This window comes from Homo sapiens, chromosome 6, assembly GCF_000001405.40.
Source record: "Homo sapiens chromosome 6, GRCh38.p14 Primary Assembly".
Taxonomy (NCBI): domain Eukaryota; kingdom Metazoa; phylum Chordata; class Mammalia; order Primates; family Hominidae; genus Homo; species Homo sapiens.
In genome coordinates, this window is record NC_000006.12 from 136,700,079 (window position 1) to 136,719,093 (window position 19,015).

The 19,015-nt window shown below is 39.6% G+C and overlaps 1 protein-coding gene across 10 annotated transcripts in view; it reads right to left on the reverse strand.

The window, feature by feature from the left end:
• The window catches only part of MAP3K5 (mitogen-activated protein kinase kinase kinase 5), a 236,046-nt gene that overhangs the window by 143,033 nt on the left and 73,998 nt on the right, over window positions 1–19,015 (reverse strand). For all 10 annotated transcript variants that reach the window (XM_017010875.2, XM_047418784.1, NM_001438058.1 and 7 more), the window contains one exon: window positions 5,032–5,055. In XM_017010875.2, the coding sequence (XP_016866364.1) occupies window positions 5,032–5,055 (24 nt within the window). The remainder of the gene's footprint in view (window positions 1–5,031; window positions 5,056–19,015) is intronic.

Here is a 19,015-nt window from a genome sequence, read left to right on the forward strand (position 1 = left end):
CGAAAGAATGAACAAATGAAAGAAGGAGAAAGAGAGAGAGAAAGAAGGAAAGAAGAAGGGAGGAAGGAGGGAGGGAGGAAGAAATGTGCATTTTCACAATGCACAATCAAAATGCACAAATCAAAATACACAATCAAAACTGTGCATTTTGGCAGCCTGGGCAGGTAACAAGATGCACTAAAGGGAAGAGATATGAGGTTTGAGGAGATGAGTCATGCTGTGGCATGACCAGGTCGGCAGAGGTGGCGATAGAGAAACAGACACGTGCGTGACTGAAGAAGAAGGAATCAGCTGGATCTGGTAACTGATAACAACCTGAGAAAGGGTAAGGCATCAAAGGCAATTCTGCACTTCTAAGGGCGACTACCTATACAGAGTGGTATCATTAACAGAAAGCAAGAATTCAGAAAGCAGAACCAGACTAAGTTATTTATGAACACATGCCTCTTCAAGACACTCATATATCAGGTAATTAATCAAAGAATCTGAATTCTAGTTAAAATATGAGAAGAACTTCAAAAGGTTGAGATTTGAATTTGGTGGGATGGGGTGAAATAGTCACTTTTAAAGAGGTTGGGATTGAGGTGGGGCACAACACCTAATGTGAAAATGTCCAAAAGAGAGCTAGAAATATGTGATTGAAACATAAAATAGTTTCAAGCCAAAATACAGACCTGAGAATTATTGGATATGGTAGAATCAAAAGAAGTGGGAGAGACCTCTATGAGAAAAATCATAGAAAAAGGCAGAGGCTGAGAACTAGAAAGAGATACGTGGGACACCCGACTACTGCCGTTATGGGGAACAAAAAAAGTCCAGGTTATCCATTCCTAGCCATATGAGCATACGGAGAATAATACAGCATTTCTCTTACCCTTAGCACTTAAGTAATAAGTACAAACATGTATTCACCATGTGTGTGTGCCAGGGTATGAACAGTCATAAGTCAGTGGGTCACAACCTACAAAGAAGCTGCTGTGGCCTTCATTTTAAAAGTGAGGAGACAGGTAAGGCTTAGAGAGATCGTACAGTTGGTCTGTGACATGTTTGGCACTCCAGCCCAGGGACTCTTTCTCTAGATGGCATGTCCTTCCCACTAGGGGGTTATGCACCCTCCTGAGTGGCCTTTACAGCAGACACACCTGCTCTCTAACCTTCTGTCACTTTCTACGGGAACTCTGTATGAGCCAAATGACTATTCACAGAAAACAGGCAAGAAATGCCAAATGCCCTTATGACCGGACTTAATTATTTATGACTATGTTATCCTTTAAGGCTGCTTCTCATATGTCAGGTAATGAAGCAGAAACCAAACCTCACTTCCAGTTAAAGCACAAGAAGAACCTCCAGAGAGTGAGATTTGATTTGAAAATCAAGTATGCTAAATTGTTCCTGTCTCAAGTTCTCCTCCATGGAACAATAATTAGAAGAGGAAACAATAATTGGAAAAGGGAAAGTGAACATGTCCTGCTTCTAAAATGTTACCAAGATCCCACAGCACATCCGCCCAATTTAATCCTTTTACCCAAGCTACTGCCGAAGCAGAAAAGAAAGGCAAGGATACCAAAGAGGCTGCTTTCCAAAGCATCTAAAGCTTCAACTATGAGAATTGTTCTAAAAGAACAACAGAATCAAACACTATTGTAGACAAGCACCGTAACTCAAAATTACAAACGAAAATTATCTGAATCCTCCAAGTCACAAAATGAGAACAAAGAGCCAAAAAGCCAATAAAGCAGAAAGTGGTATCAGAGTTTTAGCTGCTGGATAAAATTATGTAGCCTCAGAAACCTTGATACTACATATATTAGTTTATCAGATATTATTATTGAAATACGGGGCAATGGGGAATACTGCACCTGTGTAAAACTAATTCTGGGAGAGAATGACTATCAGATGTCTGGGTGTGTGTTAGGCAGAGGAGAGGTAAAGGGGTAATAATGACTACGCAAACAGCAGAGAAAAGCAGTTCCTGAAACAAACCCCATGGTATAAGGCTTCAGAGTCTTCGCTGAAAATACCTAAGCATGCTAAGGGTTTTCCCAAGTTCTAGGCTTCAGTGCATTCTTTAGAGTTTCTTTCCTATGTTTCTAAGGCAATCTTTTTTTTTTTCAATTTCCCATTGCCAATGTCAGGAAAAAAGGGGGGTGATAAGCTGCAGAAGCCACATGGATACAACTGGGCCTGAGCTAAGAGACAGCCCAGTGAGTATGCAGTGGAGGAAAAGTTGTGTTTTTCAAAAAGATATAATTGCCCAGAAAAGCACTTTTGCAAAATAATGAAAACTAATAGCATGGGAACATTTATTTCCCAAGTTGGCTCACGTGTAACTTAGAAATGTTATTTCTGTATTTTCTGTGTGCAGATTGCCACCAAACCCATAGTTTGAAATAGCTGATAATCCAAAGAAAATAAAAACAACCCCTATGTGATCAAGAACAGACACCTTAAGTGGAACAATTGCCTTTTATTAATAAAGTACTCATTCTAAAATATTTAAACTTGCTTCAAAGACCTTGTTTCCTTAAATTTCAAAACACTGAGGCATGGTCATGAAATAACAACACATGCTATAAAATCCCACAGCTCAAAATCTAGTCTTGTTCTAATTCATTTTGTTGTTGTTGTTGTTTTTAAGACAGAATCTTACTCTGTTGCCTAGGCTGGAGCACAGTGACATGATCTCGGCTCACTGCAGCCTCTGCCTCCTGGGTGCAAGTGATTCTCGTGCCTCAGCCTCCCAAGTAACTGGGATTACAGGCATGCGCCACCACACTTGGCTACTTGTTGTATTTTTAGTAGAGACAGGGTTTCACCATGTTGGCCAGACTGGTCTCAAACTCCTGGCCTCAAATGATCCTCCCGCCTCAGCCTCCCAAAGTGCTGGGATTACAGGCATGAGCCACTGCCCTGGCTCCTAATTAATTATTTTCACCGTTTTTTCTTTCTTTTTTTTTAAAAAAACCTCCAATTCTGGTTTTCAATTTTTAGAAACTACATAAAGGTAAATAGAAGTGTGTGTTGAAAATGACATGAGCTTCTGGAAGGAAAAGCTCTCAGCATTCAAATGTATTGATAGAGATGCTCGAAATATTCAACTTTTTATAAGGACATTCAGCACCTGAAACGCAACACCTCTCTCTCAAGTCAGCGGGCAACTTCTTCAAAATGTACAATATTTGGTTCTTTTATCAGCCTGCTTCTCCACAAGTCCAAGCTGGGCTAGGCAGGATGGACTTCTTTCTGCCATTCCGGTCTCAGGGAGTGCTACCTTCTCTGAAGGACACTGACATAATGGCTACCCTCTTTTTAGCACATCACCTTACGTTCATTTTCTAATTTGTCTGCTTCTTTGTTCGCTGATTTTCTACCAATTAGACTGTCTACACAACAGTTACACATGTGCTTGTTTCCACTTCCAGCCTCCCCTGTGAGAACCCTGAGGTACCAAGCCCAAAGCCTGGCGTGCAGCGCATGTCCAATCAGTATTTGTTTAAAAAAACGTGTGAGATAAATTAAACAGTTTCACACCTTTAACAAATTAAACAGTATTTTAAAACAGTGCATTGAAGCATGAAGCAATAATTGCTCATTTCCTGTTGAGATAGGAAGGATAAGAGTTTATAATGGCAACATTATTTATGCTGAAATATGCCTCTGCCCTGGTTAAATCTTAAGCATAAGTTTCAAAATTACTTCAGAGTTGTATAATCACTACTATAAAAAAAGGCTTAAAATTTCTGATTTAAGGAGAAATTAGCAATTGTATTGTTAATTTTGTCGTCTTAAATCAAATCTTGTGCAGGCTTTTATAATATATTGTATATTATCTTCACTCCGAGTTGCAGAGGTACATTCTTTAAGGTTTTTAAATACTGGCTTACTTTCTGAAATAAATGTACAACCATTGGCCACAACCATTGGCCTAACAAGGCTGTTTCCACTTTATATTATAATTCTTCTTCACGCAGCATTTTTAAAGTTTAAAATTTACTTTTCTCATGTTTTCACATTTGTTTAATTCTGTGTGGAGGGTAGGAATTCTGTAGTGTGGTCTCAGAGGCAGAATACAATACTTAGGAACTTACATCAATCTCTTCAAGTAGAAAATAGATAAAGATATCTATATATCAGTGTATATGTAATTATACTATATTGAGCTAGCTAGCTCTCAATATAAGCTAGCTATCAGTATTGTTATTCCTATACCTTATCATGATTACAGACACTGGAGAGACGATCTAGAAAACCCTGTCATATCAAGGCTTCACTGAGGTTGGGGAATCACGATTTAGAAAAGGGAAAAGGGAACAGCATATTGGAAAGGATGGCATGAATGCTGCCATGGAAACATACTATAGACACATATACATACACACATATGTGTGTGTATCTGTGTGTGGATATAGGCTGCTTTAGTGCCACTCATAATTCCACAACATTGAATACACTATAAAAGATTTTCTTTTTATTTATTTATTTTTTGAGATGTAGTCTCACTCTGTCACCCAGGCTGGAATGAAGTGGTATGATCTTGGCTCATTGCAACCTCCGCCTCCCGGGTTCAAGCGATTCTCCTGCCTCAGCCTCCTGAGTAGCTGGGATTACAGGAGCATGCTACCACACCTGGCTAATTTTTGTATTTTTAGTAGAGATGGGGTTTCACCATGTTGCCCAGGCTGTTCTTGAACTCCTGACCTCACGTGATCTGCCTGCCTCTGCCTCCCAAAATGCTGGGATTACAGGCATGAGCCATCATACCTGGCCTGAATATACTATGAAACATTTTCTTCCAAAACATAATTATATGCAGAAAAAGACAGGTATCAGTGCCATCTCTCATTATGAAAAATAAAGTTTCACTACAATGAAGTACTTAGATAACCATATTTATATTGATACATCAGAAAATCTAAAGAGGAAAAATAGAGATATAAATTAATAATTTGTGGAGATTTTAAAAATACCAAAGATTAGTTAATGGAAAAGAAAATATTTTTAAAACTCTGGAAGGTTAAATAAAGTACTCACAGTATTCTTCTGGCAAATTATTTCCTGAAAAACAAGAAAAAAAATATACCACAAGTTAATACAAAACTGAATAATTCAACAACATTTATTGAACTATGTGGGAAAATTTGTATTAACAATGATATTAGCAATTAGAAATTTTAGGAACTGTAGATTCAGTTCCTGCATCTGAAAAGTTTTCTATCTATCTACCTACTTATTTTAGAGAAAAGGTTGCCTCTGTTGCCCAGGCTGGAGTACAATGGCACAATCATAACTCACTACAGCCACAAGCTCCTGGGCTCAAGTGATCCTCCCACCTCAGCCTCCCAAGTAGCTAGGACTACAGGCCTACAGGTACATGCCACCACAACCAGCTAATTTTAGTAATTGTTTTTGTAGAGACAAGATCTCACTATGTTGCTCAGGTTGGTCTCCAACTCCTGGCCTCAAGCAATTCTCCCACTCTGGCCTCCCAAAATGCTGGGATTACAGGTGCGAGCCACGATGCCCGGCCTAAAAAGTTTACAATCTGCGGAGGAGACAGGAGAATACGAAAGTATTGTCTGCAGTTTAAAAAACAAAACAAAGCAAAACAAAAAACCAGCACTAATATGTAAAATCCCCAAACTGAATAACCTAAAAATAATTTCTGCAGATTACCTGATCAGCCACCATCTCCTTGGGAGGAGGTTAAAACGAGTTTGCTTTCCCTAAGCACAATGTCTCTCACACTCTGGGAGGGGAAAAAACAGTGTGTTACATCCTGAGCAGCTAGAAATAAAGGGTATTGGCCACCGGCAAATCCACACACAGATAATCAAGACATCTGACAAAAAATAGTCATAATTTGTGTGTTTTTCATTGAGAAATATAATGGGATAAATGGCCGGGTGCAGTGGCTCATGCCTGTAATCCCAGCACTTTGGGAGGTGGAGGCAGGTGGATCACCTGAGGTCATGAGCTCGAGACCAGCCTGGCCAACATGGTGAAACTCCATCTCTACTAACAATACAAAAATTAGCTAGGCATGGTGGCACATGACTGCATGACTGTAATCCCAGCTACTCAGGAGGCTGAGGCAGGAGAATCACTTGAATCCAAGAGGCGGAGGCTGCGGCGAGCTGAGATCGCACCACTGCACTCTAACCTGGGTGACAGAGTGAGACTCCTCAAAAAAAAAAGAATGGGATAAGTACACAGTGTGGGCAGTGTGCCCATCTTCTAGGTTGTGAAGATTGAGTGAGATCATACAAATAATATAGCTATACAGTGCCTGACACATAAAAGCTCTCAATATAAGCTAACTATCAGTATTGTTATTCCTATACCTCACCATGACTACAGACACCGGAGAGACGATCTAGAAAAGCCTGTTGTATCAAGGCTTCACTGAGGTTGGGGAATCATCATTTAGAAAAGGGAAAAGGGAACAGCATATTGGAAAGGATGGCATGAATGTTGCCATGGAAACAGAAATAGTAAGGCATTTGTGGAGCCTCAAGGGCGAGTCCATCTGGCTGAGGCAAGGAGCCAGATCTGGGAGGGAAGAGTGTGGCCAGGCGAGGCCCGGCTGAGTGGCCATCATCTTCAGCCCAGGACCAGGATGCTGAATCCACATGGGGCAAAGAAGAACCAACAAGGACTTTCATGCAAAGGAGCATGTAAGATTTTTGAATGTTTAAGGATAGCAGATGAGAAAACAAAAACTGACAGAGGAAAGAATTGCACTGGGTAGTTCTGAGGGCCATGAAGATGTACACAAAACACTAAAAATGCCTGGTGCCGTGGCTGACGCCTGTAAATCTCAGCGCTTTGGGAGGCTAAGGCCGGAAGATCACTTGAGACTAGGAGTTTGAGGCCAGCCTAGGCAACATGATGAGACTCTGCCTCTAGAAAACATTTAAAAATTAGCTGGGTGTCGTGGCACACACCTCACATCTATAGACCAAGCTACTTGGAAGGCTGGGGCAGGAGGATCACTTGAGCCTTGAAGATCGAGGCTGCAGTCAGCTATGACTGTGCCACTGCACTCCAGCTTGGGCAACAGAGCAAGATCCTGACTCAAAAAAAAAATGACTAAAAGATATTCTTCAATACCTGACAATCTTGCTGATAGAAAAGGGACATGTACACATTTAATATTTATGTAAGTCTGGATGGAAATGTGTGTATACGCACAATTGCTAAAAGTAAAAAGAATGACAGAGACAGCAAGGGCTATGCTTTATCAGAGAAAGATGTTCCTGAAGATTGAGAAAGCCTGGGAAGCTCAGCAGAGAAGGTGGAACTCAAGCTGAGCTGTGAAGGACAGACACGACCTCCAAAGGCAAAGCCCGAAGGTGAGGATCCAGGCCGGAGAGCTAGGTAAAGCAAAGGCCCATCTGAGGAACAATAAACGTTATCACAGGGAGCTAAAGAAGACAGTTCAGTTGGGGACCTATGGAAGAGTGAATTAAAGAGGTACTTGGGGGGGGGGGGAACCCCTTGAACGTAGTCATTTGGCTAAAGCAGAAAGTTCATTTTGACACATACAAAAAGTAAGATTAGAAAGCTATTTGGAGCCTTACTGAAGAAGGCTTTGAATGCTACAATCAAGTACTCTGCTCTGTGAGCACCTGGCAGTCAACGTGTTTTTTAAGGTGAGTGATATGTTCAAAGAAGTATCAGCACGTATTGGGGCACCATTTGTACTAGTAAAGGCTGAGAACAACATAAATGGCCATAATCTAAAAACTAGTTGAATAAACACTAGTACCTCCATACACTGGAATACATTACACCCAAACAAACAATGAAGAACCAAACAAACAATGAAGTGATAGAGAAGGATCTCCCAGATCTGCTAAGTAAAAAAAGCAAAATAGAGAACAGTTTTTTATCCTATGCTGCTATTTATGTATAAAAGAGAGAAAAATGAAATTCTAATTTGTAAATTCATAAAATCTCTCTGGAAGGATGTATAAGAAACTAAAAACAGTGGTTGCCAATGGAGTCGGTTGGCTGACTAGAGGATAAAGGTAAAATAATAAATTTTCACTGTATATCATTTTGTACTTTTAAATGTTTGTAGCAAGTGAATGTATTACCTTAGGACAAATAAATAAAAGGTAAACCTTGTTAAAGTTTTACACAGACTAATTTGATGATGTTACTTAGTATTAATTATTTTTTTTTAATTTTTTGAGACAGGATCTCGCTATGTTACCCAGGCTGGAGTGCAGTGGCATGATCATGGCTCACTGCAGCCTCAACTTCCCAGGCTCCAGAAATCCTCCCACCTCAGCCTCCCAAGTAGCTGGGACCACAGGTGCCTGCCACCATGCCTGGCTAATTTTTGTATTTTTAGTAGAGATGGGGTTTCACCATGTTTCCCAGGCTGGTTTCTAACTCCTGGGCTCAAGCAATCCGCCTGCTTCAGCCTCCCAAAGCGCTAGGATTACAGGTGTGAGCCACCGTGCCTGGCCATTACTTAGTATTTGATGGGGAAAAGCATTTAGGTGGCTACTGAAAAAGTCCAGAGACATCATAGTAAGTGCTTAGTCAATGGGGGTGCTCCAGGAATGGAAATCAAGGGACAGATGAGTGGCATTGTAGAGGAAGGTTGAAAGTGGCTTTTCCTGCAGGTGTTTCAAATAGTTAATATTGCGCACACACAGAAATGGCTCACGAACAAGGAAGCTGAAAAATGTTGGATAATCACAAAGCCAGGAACACAGTATGCAGAATTTTTCAAACTTGATCTATGGAGCATCTCTCCAGAGTAGCAAACCATACGCTTGCAAATATGGCTCTCACTTGATAGAATATCCTTCTCTCTTCCCCTCTGAGTAACGAGGAAATGCCCTCTCCGTCCTCTCTGTGCAGCATCCTCTGTGCAATGTATAAGAAACCTGTCTTCTGTGAAGCTGGCCTTCACTGTGTTCTGTGACACCCCCAACAGAAGTAGATTATGTCTTTATCTGTGTTGTCATTAATCCTCACACACATCTCCTCGAAAGCACTTCATTTTCTACATTGCACATTTTTGTTCCTATGATTCTCTCACCCTACATCATGACTTCCTCGCGTGCAAAGACCATGTATTTTATTCATATTTGTATCCTGACTGACTGTCTAGCAAATGTCATGACATACAGCGGGTACTACAAAAGCATGAATAAATGAATAAATTAATGAATGTATAAAATATTGGACTATGAATTAGGGGTAGATATATGTAAGATATGGCTCTGCTCCCAGCTAGCCATTTCACTTCTCTCTAATGTGACACTAAGAGAGTTTGACTAAGTGATTGCTAGTCTCTTCTAATGCTGTGTTCATCAATTGCTTTTGCCTAAAGGGCTCTCATAGTCAGTCTTGTCCTTGTGCTGCTAGAAGGAGAGATGCCCTCATGCTCCCCCAGCATACAAGATATTCTACCCTTGACTCTGTTTTTGATGCACCAGGCACAGAAATGGAAGTGGCAGGGAAGGGAGCAGTGGTGAGTACTGAGTGAGCAGAAGGCTCTATAGAAAAGCAAATGGCCACTACTGGCTTAGTGCCAATATGCTATATCTTCCTTATGAATTGCTCATTGGAATAATAACCCTCTTACATGTCTCCTCCATCTTCATTTCAGATTATGCATACCTTATAATGCATGCATTTTAGATTATGCTTGCAGATTGTGCCTGCAAACTATAAAAATCATTCCTGAGCCAGATGATGGTGTGCACCTGTAATCCCAGCTACTCAAGAGGCAGAGGCAGGAGGGTTGCTTGAGGCCAGGAGTTCGAGGCCACAGTGAGCTATGATCGCACCACTGCACTCCAGCCTGGGTGACAAGAGAGTCCCATCTCTTAAAAAGAGAAAGAAAAATCATTCGTGTAACATCTGAATTCTTGTTAGCTATTGTTTATGCTTTGTAGATGCTAAAGGGCTACAAATCCTGTTCTCCTGAAGGAGACAGAGTTTATTCACAGTTTATCATGTAACCTTAAAGGAGGCATCAACTTTAATGGAGCAAAGGTACTGTTTGTTCATTTAACTCAATCCAAATAAATAACAAATAAGACCTTGAAAGGTATCTAGAGCAGAGAATGCTTAATTTGTATTAAATCCACTAAAGAGGGGTGGGAAGGAAAGGGAATAAATTTAAGACATAACTGCTCTATTTCACATCAGCTCATGGAAATTTTCCTCTCAAGTACCTATGAATAAGAAGATAAAATCAATATAAACTCCAGTTCCTTGCCAGGGGCACATTTCTGAAGATGCATTACCCCACTACAACTCCATACTTGTCTGAGGTATTTAGGGGGCTTTTGGTCAGTGTAGCCCCGGCTATACCAGAAACATTCAAAAAAATTCTTTTCCTGATTTTCTGGTATTGGTTGATAACCAATTAAGGGGAGCAAGACTAAAAAAAAAAATCTAGTCCAAGGCTCATTTGAAGGCAAAGACTAACTTTTGATAGCTCTCTGGGACAGTGTTTGAAAAGGTCACCTCAGGGATAACTAAATGGAGTATTTCCACCACTAGAAAGTTTTTGTGCCTAAAATTTAGGTAACTGCAGCCAGCGAAAGAAGTGGGAATAGCAGGCATGGGGTGGCCAAGTCAAATCAAACTTGGGGTGGGAGAAGCAGGAATAGGAACCAGGATTTCACCTTCCTGAAAGAAGAGAAAGGAGCAGGCTTGGAGTTCTTGCCCAGGGAAAGAACCTCTCCCTGGCTGGTGACTTTCTGGGTCTTCCGTTCTGATCCATCTTTCTGTCCTAGTGGAACTTGGCAAGTTTTCCATTAAAGTTGGGGAAAAGAAGAATAATCCCTATACTCCTCAGCTCCATCTTCTTAACTCATTTCAATGTGTCAAAAAAGCAAAACAAGAAACTATCAGATGGGCTGTCTGGGCCTCCTAGGCCTTGCTGAGAAGGAGAAACACCCCCGTACCCTTTCTGCACACTGCTAAAACAAGCTGAGCAGACTCAGGGAGAGTAATCCAACAAAAGTGTCATAGAGCCGTGACACAGAGTCTTTAAAGATAGATAGGAAACAAAGTACTTTTGTGTTTACATGTTATGCCTACATAAAAGCTCAAGCTTTAAAAGAAAAAAATCTCAATAATCTTAAAAAAAAAACCTAGAAAATCATCCTTTTGCAGAACATATGAAATCTGTGGATAGACTGAGAGAGGAAAGTACCAGATGACAAGTCAAAGAATATAGGGCTTATCCTTGCCCCGACACTAGCTGTGTGTGTTCCCCAAACAAGTCATCACGCGTCTCATTTCTCTTCTGTAAAGAAAATATCTTCTGGCCAGGAGCGTTGGCTCATGCCTGTAATCACAGCACTTTGGGAGGCAGAGGCAGGCAGATCACTGGAGCCCAGGAGTTTGAGACCAGCCTGGGAAACACGGCAAAACCCCATCTCTACAAAAAAATACAAAAATTAGCCAGGTGTAGCAGCATGTGCCTATACACCCAGCTACTCAGGAGGTCGAGATGGGAGGATTGCTTGAACCTGGGAGGTGGAGGTTGCACTGAGCCAAAATGGCACTACTGCACCCCAGGCTGGGTGGACAAAGTCAGACCTCTCAAAAAAAAAAAGAAAGAAAGAAAGAAAGAAAAAAGAAAAAGAAAATACCTTCTATCTCTCCAATCCAAATAATATCTAACTTGTCTGTCTCGTTGGGTTCTATGTAAAGGCCAAATGGAGTAAGTTAATGAAATTACTTGCAGTACTTTAAAGCTATTTATAGGAGGAGGTATTAATAAACCAAAGCAAACAACTCCAACTCAATTCCTGCACTGCCAGGTCTAGAGACCTTTTACACCTCTGTTATTCATGACGGGGGCTAAGAACACATCCTTCTCTTGCATATGAACACCTATCAATTAAAACAACCTGTACCAAAAATCAGGTTAAATTATATCAAAGCTGGAAAGTAATCCTAAAAGGAATTCTAGCCTCTCTTTTCCCTATTAATTTCTTTTCATATTTAAATAAGTATATCTTGGTGGAAGAACTCTGCCGTAAGTAGGTATCTGTCTCTAAACTGGCTGGAATGCTGATGAATGACATTTTATACATAAAGCATTTAATAGAGCTTTTTTTTTTTTTTTTGAGACAGGGTCTCACTCTGTCACTCTATCACCCAGGCTGGAGTGCAGTGACATGATCTCAGCTCACTGCAACCTCAACCTCCCCAGGCTCAGGCAATTCTCCTACCTCAGCCTCCTAAGTAGCTGGGACTACAGGCACGTACCACCATGACCAGCTAATTTTTGTAGAAACTGGGTCTCACTATGCTGACCAGGCTGGTCTTGAACTCCTGGGCTTAGGTGATCCACCTGCCTCAGCCTCCCAAAGTGCTGGGATTACAGCTGTGCCCGGCCTAACAGAGCTTCTTAACACAAACTTCACTTTATACTGTGTTGCTATTATAATTAACTTCTTCTTCTTTTTAACCAGTTGTTTCTTTCAGCAACACCTAATTGGGTCACATTATTCAAGTGCATGTATTACTTTTCTTAAACTGTATTGTTAAAGTTGGAGGTATAGTGAATTTTTCTACAGTAAATCATACTTTACACATTGATATGGTTTGGCTGTGTCCCCACCCAAATCTCAACTCGAATTGTAGCTCCCATGATTCCCACATGTTGTGGGAGGGACCTGGTGGGAGATAACTGAATTACGGGGGTGGTTTCCCCCATACTGTTCTCGTGGTAGTGAATAAGTCTCACGAGGTCTGATGATTTTATAAGGGGTTTCCCCTTCCACCTGGCTCATTCTATCTTGTCTGCTGCCATGTAAGATGTGCCTTTCACCTTCTGCCATGATTGTGAGGCCTCCCCAGCCACATAGAACTGTGAGTCCATTAAACCTCTTTTTCTTTATAAATTACCCAGTCTCAGGTATGTCTTTATCAGCAGCATGAAAATGAACTAATACACACACATATTTCAGTAATAGTTTCAAAGATATATTCTAAAAAGGCCCAAAGAGGGTGATGGGTTACAATGCCAAAAAGATCAACTTCCACAGAAAGAGTCATTTATATAGCATAAGTGAAAATAAAGATAATTCAGCAAGGCTTGCCCCACTCCTTCCTCTGTGTGCAGAAGTAGTCCTTCTTACTCTTTAAGGGTATTCAAAATCATAGGCCTACGACCAGAGTCACTACAAATGAGAAAAATAGCTGGTGCCCACAGTCATATAATGGCATTGTGCATCGCCTCTTAGACAAAATGGTAACAAGAGATTCAAAACAGTGGGCAAGGAGTGAGGGTGGTTAAAGAGGTATCAGGAAGGAGAAAGCAAGGGCATATTTTACCCAGTCTATACATAATTCCTTAGAAGGTATACTATTGCTAATTGACATCCAAGAAAGCTGAATTCTCCAGTCTTGAGTCCCTTTAATAACCTCAGGGATTCTACAATTGGGAAGTCAACTCCTGCTAAATAAATCATTCATCTAGCTTGTCAATTCAAGATCTTCAGAGAAAACCTTCATAAAGCAGTGTTACATGAATTGCTTATTTGCTCCTCCCCACAAATTACCTCTTTCCTTCCCCAATTTGAGATGGAATGATTATAGCTTAGATGAAAGTTAGATCATTTCTGAATAAATAAAATAAAGGAACAAGATTGTCTCTACCAAATGAAAAGAAGTGTAAGGGATAGCAACGTTGAACCAGGAAGAGTAGAGTCCCAGGGTTTTTAAATCAACAGCTGGTTATAAAGTAAGCTAGAGACTTTCAGAGATGTCCAGAGGCAGCACTATTAAAAAGGGGTAGGGCCAATGTTTCCAGTTCACAAATTGTGAGACCACTTTATAGGATCATATTTTCCAAGGATGTTTTTAAAAAACATTTACTGAGTGTGTACTTTGTACCACTAACAAGTTGATGATTTTTAAAATGCTGAAAAGAATCCAGCAAAAATTCTTTGTTAAACTAAAAGAATCCTAAACCTTTGAAAAATAAAAATTTTAATTCCATGCACAACTCAAGCTAAAACCAAATTCATCTTATTTACTTTGATAAGGGAGGCAAAACTTTAACAAAAGGAAGTACTGTTTTTTGTTTGTAAAAACAAAAAGATAAAATGTTTTTATGGGTTTAAGAACACTCTGGAATCCGAGTAGATTCTCCAAATACAGGTAAGAATTCAATTTAAGTGTGAGGTATTTGTAACAAATTACCAGGTGTCCTCACCAATTTACAAACTGGTATAATCATCAAAATTTACACATGGACATCACTGCTATTTTCAAAACTATAACCATTTGCTTCAAATGGATATGAATGAGTGCCAGAAAGACAAGACTCCGTGTTTAAGTTCTAAAGGAGATTGAGTCCCTCAGTGCCTGCAGATAAAAGATCATGGGTCTAGGTATCACAGAACTGCTCAAATGAGCAGTAGTTTTCAACGTTCATTTATGTTGTACCATATGTCAAAATTTCCTTCCTTTTTAAGATTGAATAATATTCCATTATATGTATATACCACATGTTGTTCAGCCAATGATCTGTTGATAAATATGTGGGTTGCTTCCACCTTTTGGCTACTAAGAATAATGCTACCATGAACATGGGTATATAAACACCTCTTCAAGATCCCGCTTTCAGTTCTTTTGGGTATATATCCAGAAGTGGAATTGCTGGATCATGTGGTAATTTTATTTTTAATGTTTTGGGGAGCTGCCGTATTATTAAAATTTGCTGATTTTTAAGGGCTAATTTAGTGAAATGTTACAAATTTTGGTTTGTGCACCTAAGATTTCATGCTAGCCAGATCCCAATCTAGAAAATAATAGATGCACTGAGGCAGAGTAAGGGTTTCAAGCATCACATATGTGTGTTCTGTATACAGTGAGATAGTGAAGGAGTAAGCGTGTAGACAGGTTGCCACAGAGAATAGTCTATTAATGAAAATCCCATCCATAAAGTAACTTTTCAGCCAATGGTTAAAGATAAAAATACAACTAAATTTTTTGAACAAGAAATAATCTAACATAATCATTACGTTTCAACACAAACTGCATCACCACTAACTGATGTGCCTACCAACCTATCAAGAAACATTACTTCTATAATGGATAAAATGAGAACAAAGTCTGTTTGAGTGCAGAAAGGGAAATATCCAAATATCTGAAGCTTTCTAACCACAGCCAGAACATAGAAAAAAGACACTAAAAATATTTTGGGATTCCAGTGTCCAAAATGCATATACGTTATCCTGGTGGATACAAAAAATAAAAGAATATAGCAACCTTTTCCTTTTTTAAAAAAGGTTAATTATTAAATATTTCAAGTATATAAAAAGTACAAAAATTAGCACTCATAATCTACCACCTAGATTTAGAACTATAACATTACAGATACAGTTGAAGACTCTCATCTTCCCTTCCCAATTTTATTCCATTCCTATCCCCTAAGAGGTAACTATTCTGAATGTTGTTTATAATTCCATGCACATGTCTATCCTTTTATAACACAAGTGTGTATAAAAGCATCCTCTTGCACTGACAATATTTTATATAGATGGTATGATACTGTACACAAGTAATTTTTTTACCCCAACACTGTTGTTTTGAGATATATTGATATTGACGTCTGAAGCACTAACTGATTTGTTTTAAGTGCTCTATAATATTCCATTAAATGATTATAGCTGGCTGGGCATGGTGGTTCACACCTGTAATCCCAGCACTTTGGGAGGCCAACGGGGGCGGATTGCTTGAGATCAGGAGTTTGATATCAGCCTGGCCAACATGGCGAAACCCCGTCTCTACTAAAATACAAAAATCAGCTGGGCGTGGTGGCGGGAGCCTGTAATCCCAGCTACTAGGGAGGCTGAGACAGGAGAATTGCTTGAACCCAGGAGGTGGAGGTTGCAGTGAGCCGGGATAGCACCACTGCACTCCAGCCCGGGTGACAAAGCAAGATCGTCTCAAAAAAAAAAAAAAAAAAAAAAAAAAAAAAAAAAAAAAATTACAGCTGAAGGTATCTATTAATTCTCCATTTCCTTGGGAGGAGGAGCTATTATAAACATGTTAACATAAACATTCTTGATTATATCTCCTTATGCATGCAAGAGACTTTTTTTACAGTATACATTTAGGGTTGGAATGACTAAGTCTTGGTGATATGCTCATTTGATATTATTAAATATTCCCAAATTGCGCTTCAGAAGGTAGTATCTCTCCCACCAGCAGTGTGTAGGTTTCCCACTCTCCACAATCTGGCCATCTGTAGTATAAGAGCTTTTAATTCTCAACTATCTGGCACGTGCAGTCATGTTTCATCCTGTTGTTTTGCTTCCTTTAAAAGTAGCATTGTTTAAAGTGAGTGGGGAGTGGCCCAGAACATAGAGGAGCTGAGGAAGGGAGTGGAGGAAAGGATCACAAGAAGATAAGCTGAGAGCTGGTGTTATAAAGGAATTTCTAGTGATAAGAGATGGTTCATTAAAACAACTTCCTCACTCTACACAAAACAGGTTCATTTCTCCTAAGTCATCAGAGGTGTTTAATGCATCTGCACCACAGCTCATTGACCAGGAGTGTCCAGACTTACTCACCACTTACTGAGAGACCCCAAGTGGAAGTATGATCATTTCATAATGCATGAAATAAATCAGAAAATAATTGTTACTAGCATTTCTTATTTTAAACCAATGTAAATATTGGCACAGATATTCTCTCAATAAACATTAGTAGGCACGAGAGAAATTCTCATGAGACTTAAAGAAAATTGTAAAAAATAAAAGTGTTGTTACAATGCTAAAGAAAATAAAAAGAATTGGCCAGGCACAGTGGCTCACGCCTGTGATCCCAGCACTTTGGGGGGCCGAGGTGGGCAGATTACTTGAGGTCAGGAGTTCAAGACCAGCCTGGCCAACATGGTGAAACCCCATCTCTACTAAAAATATAAAAATTAGCCAGGCATGGTGGCACGTGCCTATAATCCCAGCTACTCTGGAGGCGGAGGTTGCAGTGAGCTGAGATTGCTCCATTGCACTAAAAAAGCAAAAAAAAAAAGAAAAAATCAACTTCCTTCTCTCAAAGTGTAATGATCATCTTCTCTTGAAAAAAATACTAAAATTTTTCATTCTTAGTACAACAAAATAGTACTTGTGATTTAAAACAATGGATATAAATCTTATTACAATTAAATGCTATGACTAGATTCTAAATATCCTTTCAAATGATACTTCAGACATAGATTTTTAAAGTACTTTCATAGCTCCCATTACTTTTCCAGGAGCTTAAATTAAAACAAAAAAAAATTTTTTTCTACGATTTCTTCCTGAGAATTTGCCACCAAAGAGAAACTGCAGTCTTCAACAAAGAGCAGCAGATTAAAATAAAACTTGTGCAGCTGTACTTTCTAGATGGCCAAAGAATCAACCTAAGTGAAACTAAACATATGACAAGAATAGCATTCTAAAACTGTCTTTGCCCTGTGAAAACAGAGAAATGCTTTGTTTTTATTTCACTTGGCTAATCCTTACATGATATATTATTTTAAATATCTCTTGTTCTGCTTCTTTCATGGCAGTTTTCCTATCTGTTGGTCAATGGCAGGAATAAGGGTTACATCTTTAACTAATTGACCAGAAATGAATAAAACTAAAAATACACACACACACCAACTCTTTTCGGTAGCATAGGACCTGAGGAACTTTCAGGACTCAGAGGAAATTGCTAGACTGCCAAATATGCTTCCTATCCCAGATATTTCTGTCCTCTGCAACCAGACACATGACCTACCAGGCTAGGAATAGTCTAAATAAGAAAACAGCAAAAGTTTAAGTTAATAGAAAGGAGAAGGGAAAAGAAAAAAAGAAGGATGTTACCTAGGAAAACTCAGGAGGCATAGCTGATAGGCTTTTCTAAATGAACACACTCAGCAGGAATATATGATATAATTTTAACTAGAAGTAACTAACAATAATGCTTAGCAGTCAAGGGCAACAGGCTTTGGAGTCAGGCAGTCGTAATCCCAAATTTTCCTAGCTATATCACCTTAGGCAAATGATTGAATTTCTTTGAGCTTCGGTTTGTGATACTAAAAAAATGCTAATAGAAAATACATCTTACAGAGCTCTTTTAAGAATTATTATTATTATTATTCTTTGTTTTGTGATTTTTTTGAGACAGGGTCTTGCTGTGTCGCCCAGGCTGGAGTGCAGTGGTGTGATCTCAGCTTACTGCAACCTCTGCCTCCTGGGTTCAAGAGATTCTCATGCCTCCCAAGTAGCTGGGATTACAGGCATGTGCTGCCACACCTGGCTAATTTTTGTATTTAGTAGAGACAAGGTTTCACCACGTTGGCCAGGCTGGTCTTGAACTCCTGGCCTCAAGTGATCCAACTGCCTCAGCTCCGCAAAGTGCTGGGATTACCACACCCAGCCTCTCCTTTAAGAATTTGAAAATGTATGCAGATAAAGCACTTGGTACCTAGCACATAGTGAATACTCAATAAGAAGCAGATAATATGTACAAGATAAATGAGCACAGTTTAGACATCATTAGCCTTTTTAAGGAACTACTTCAATCAAATGCCAATAACACTCCTAGACAAAGGCTAGCTTAAAACAATAAGCCAGTTTATTTGTCCCGGACATATGTGTGGTAAGATTAGCTTTATCTCTTTCTCTCAAATGTAAGTTTGCTTCATTTAAAAATACTTCCCTAGGAAAGAATGGGCACAAAATTAAACCACCAGATACTAGCAGGAGCAAGAGCAAAAAAATGTAGAAAGTAAAAAATCTCCAACATAATAGGGCCTGCTTAAATAAACTTAATCTATCTAGGTGATCTAGGTGTGGCAGCTCACACCTATAATCCCAACCCTTTGGGAGGCCAAGGTGGGAGAATCGCTTGAACCCAGGAGTTCAAGACCAGCCTGGGCAACATGGCAAAACCCCATCTCTACAAAAAAGAGAAAAATTAGCTGGGTGAGGTAGCATGCATCTGTAGTCCCAGCTACTCAGGAGGCTGAGGAGGGAGGATCACT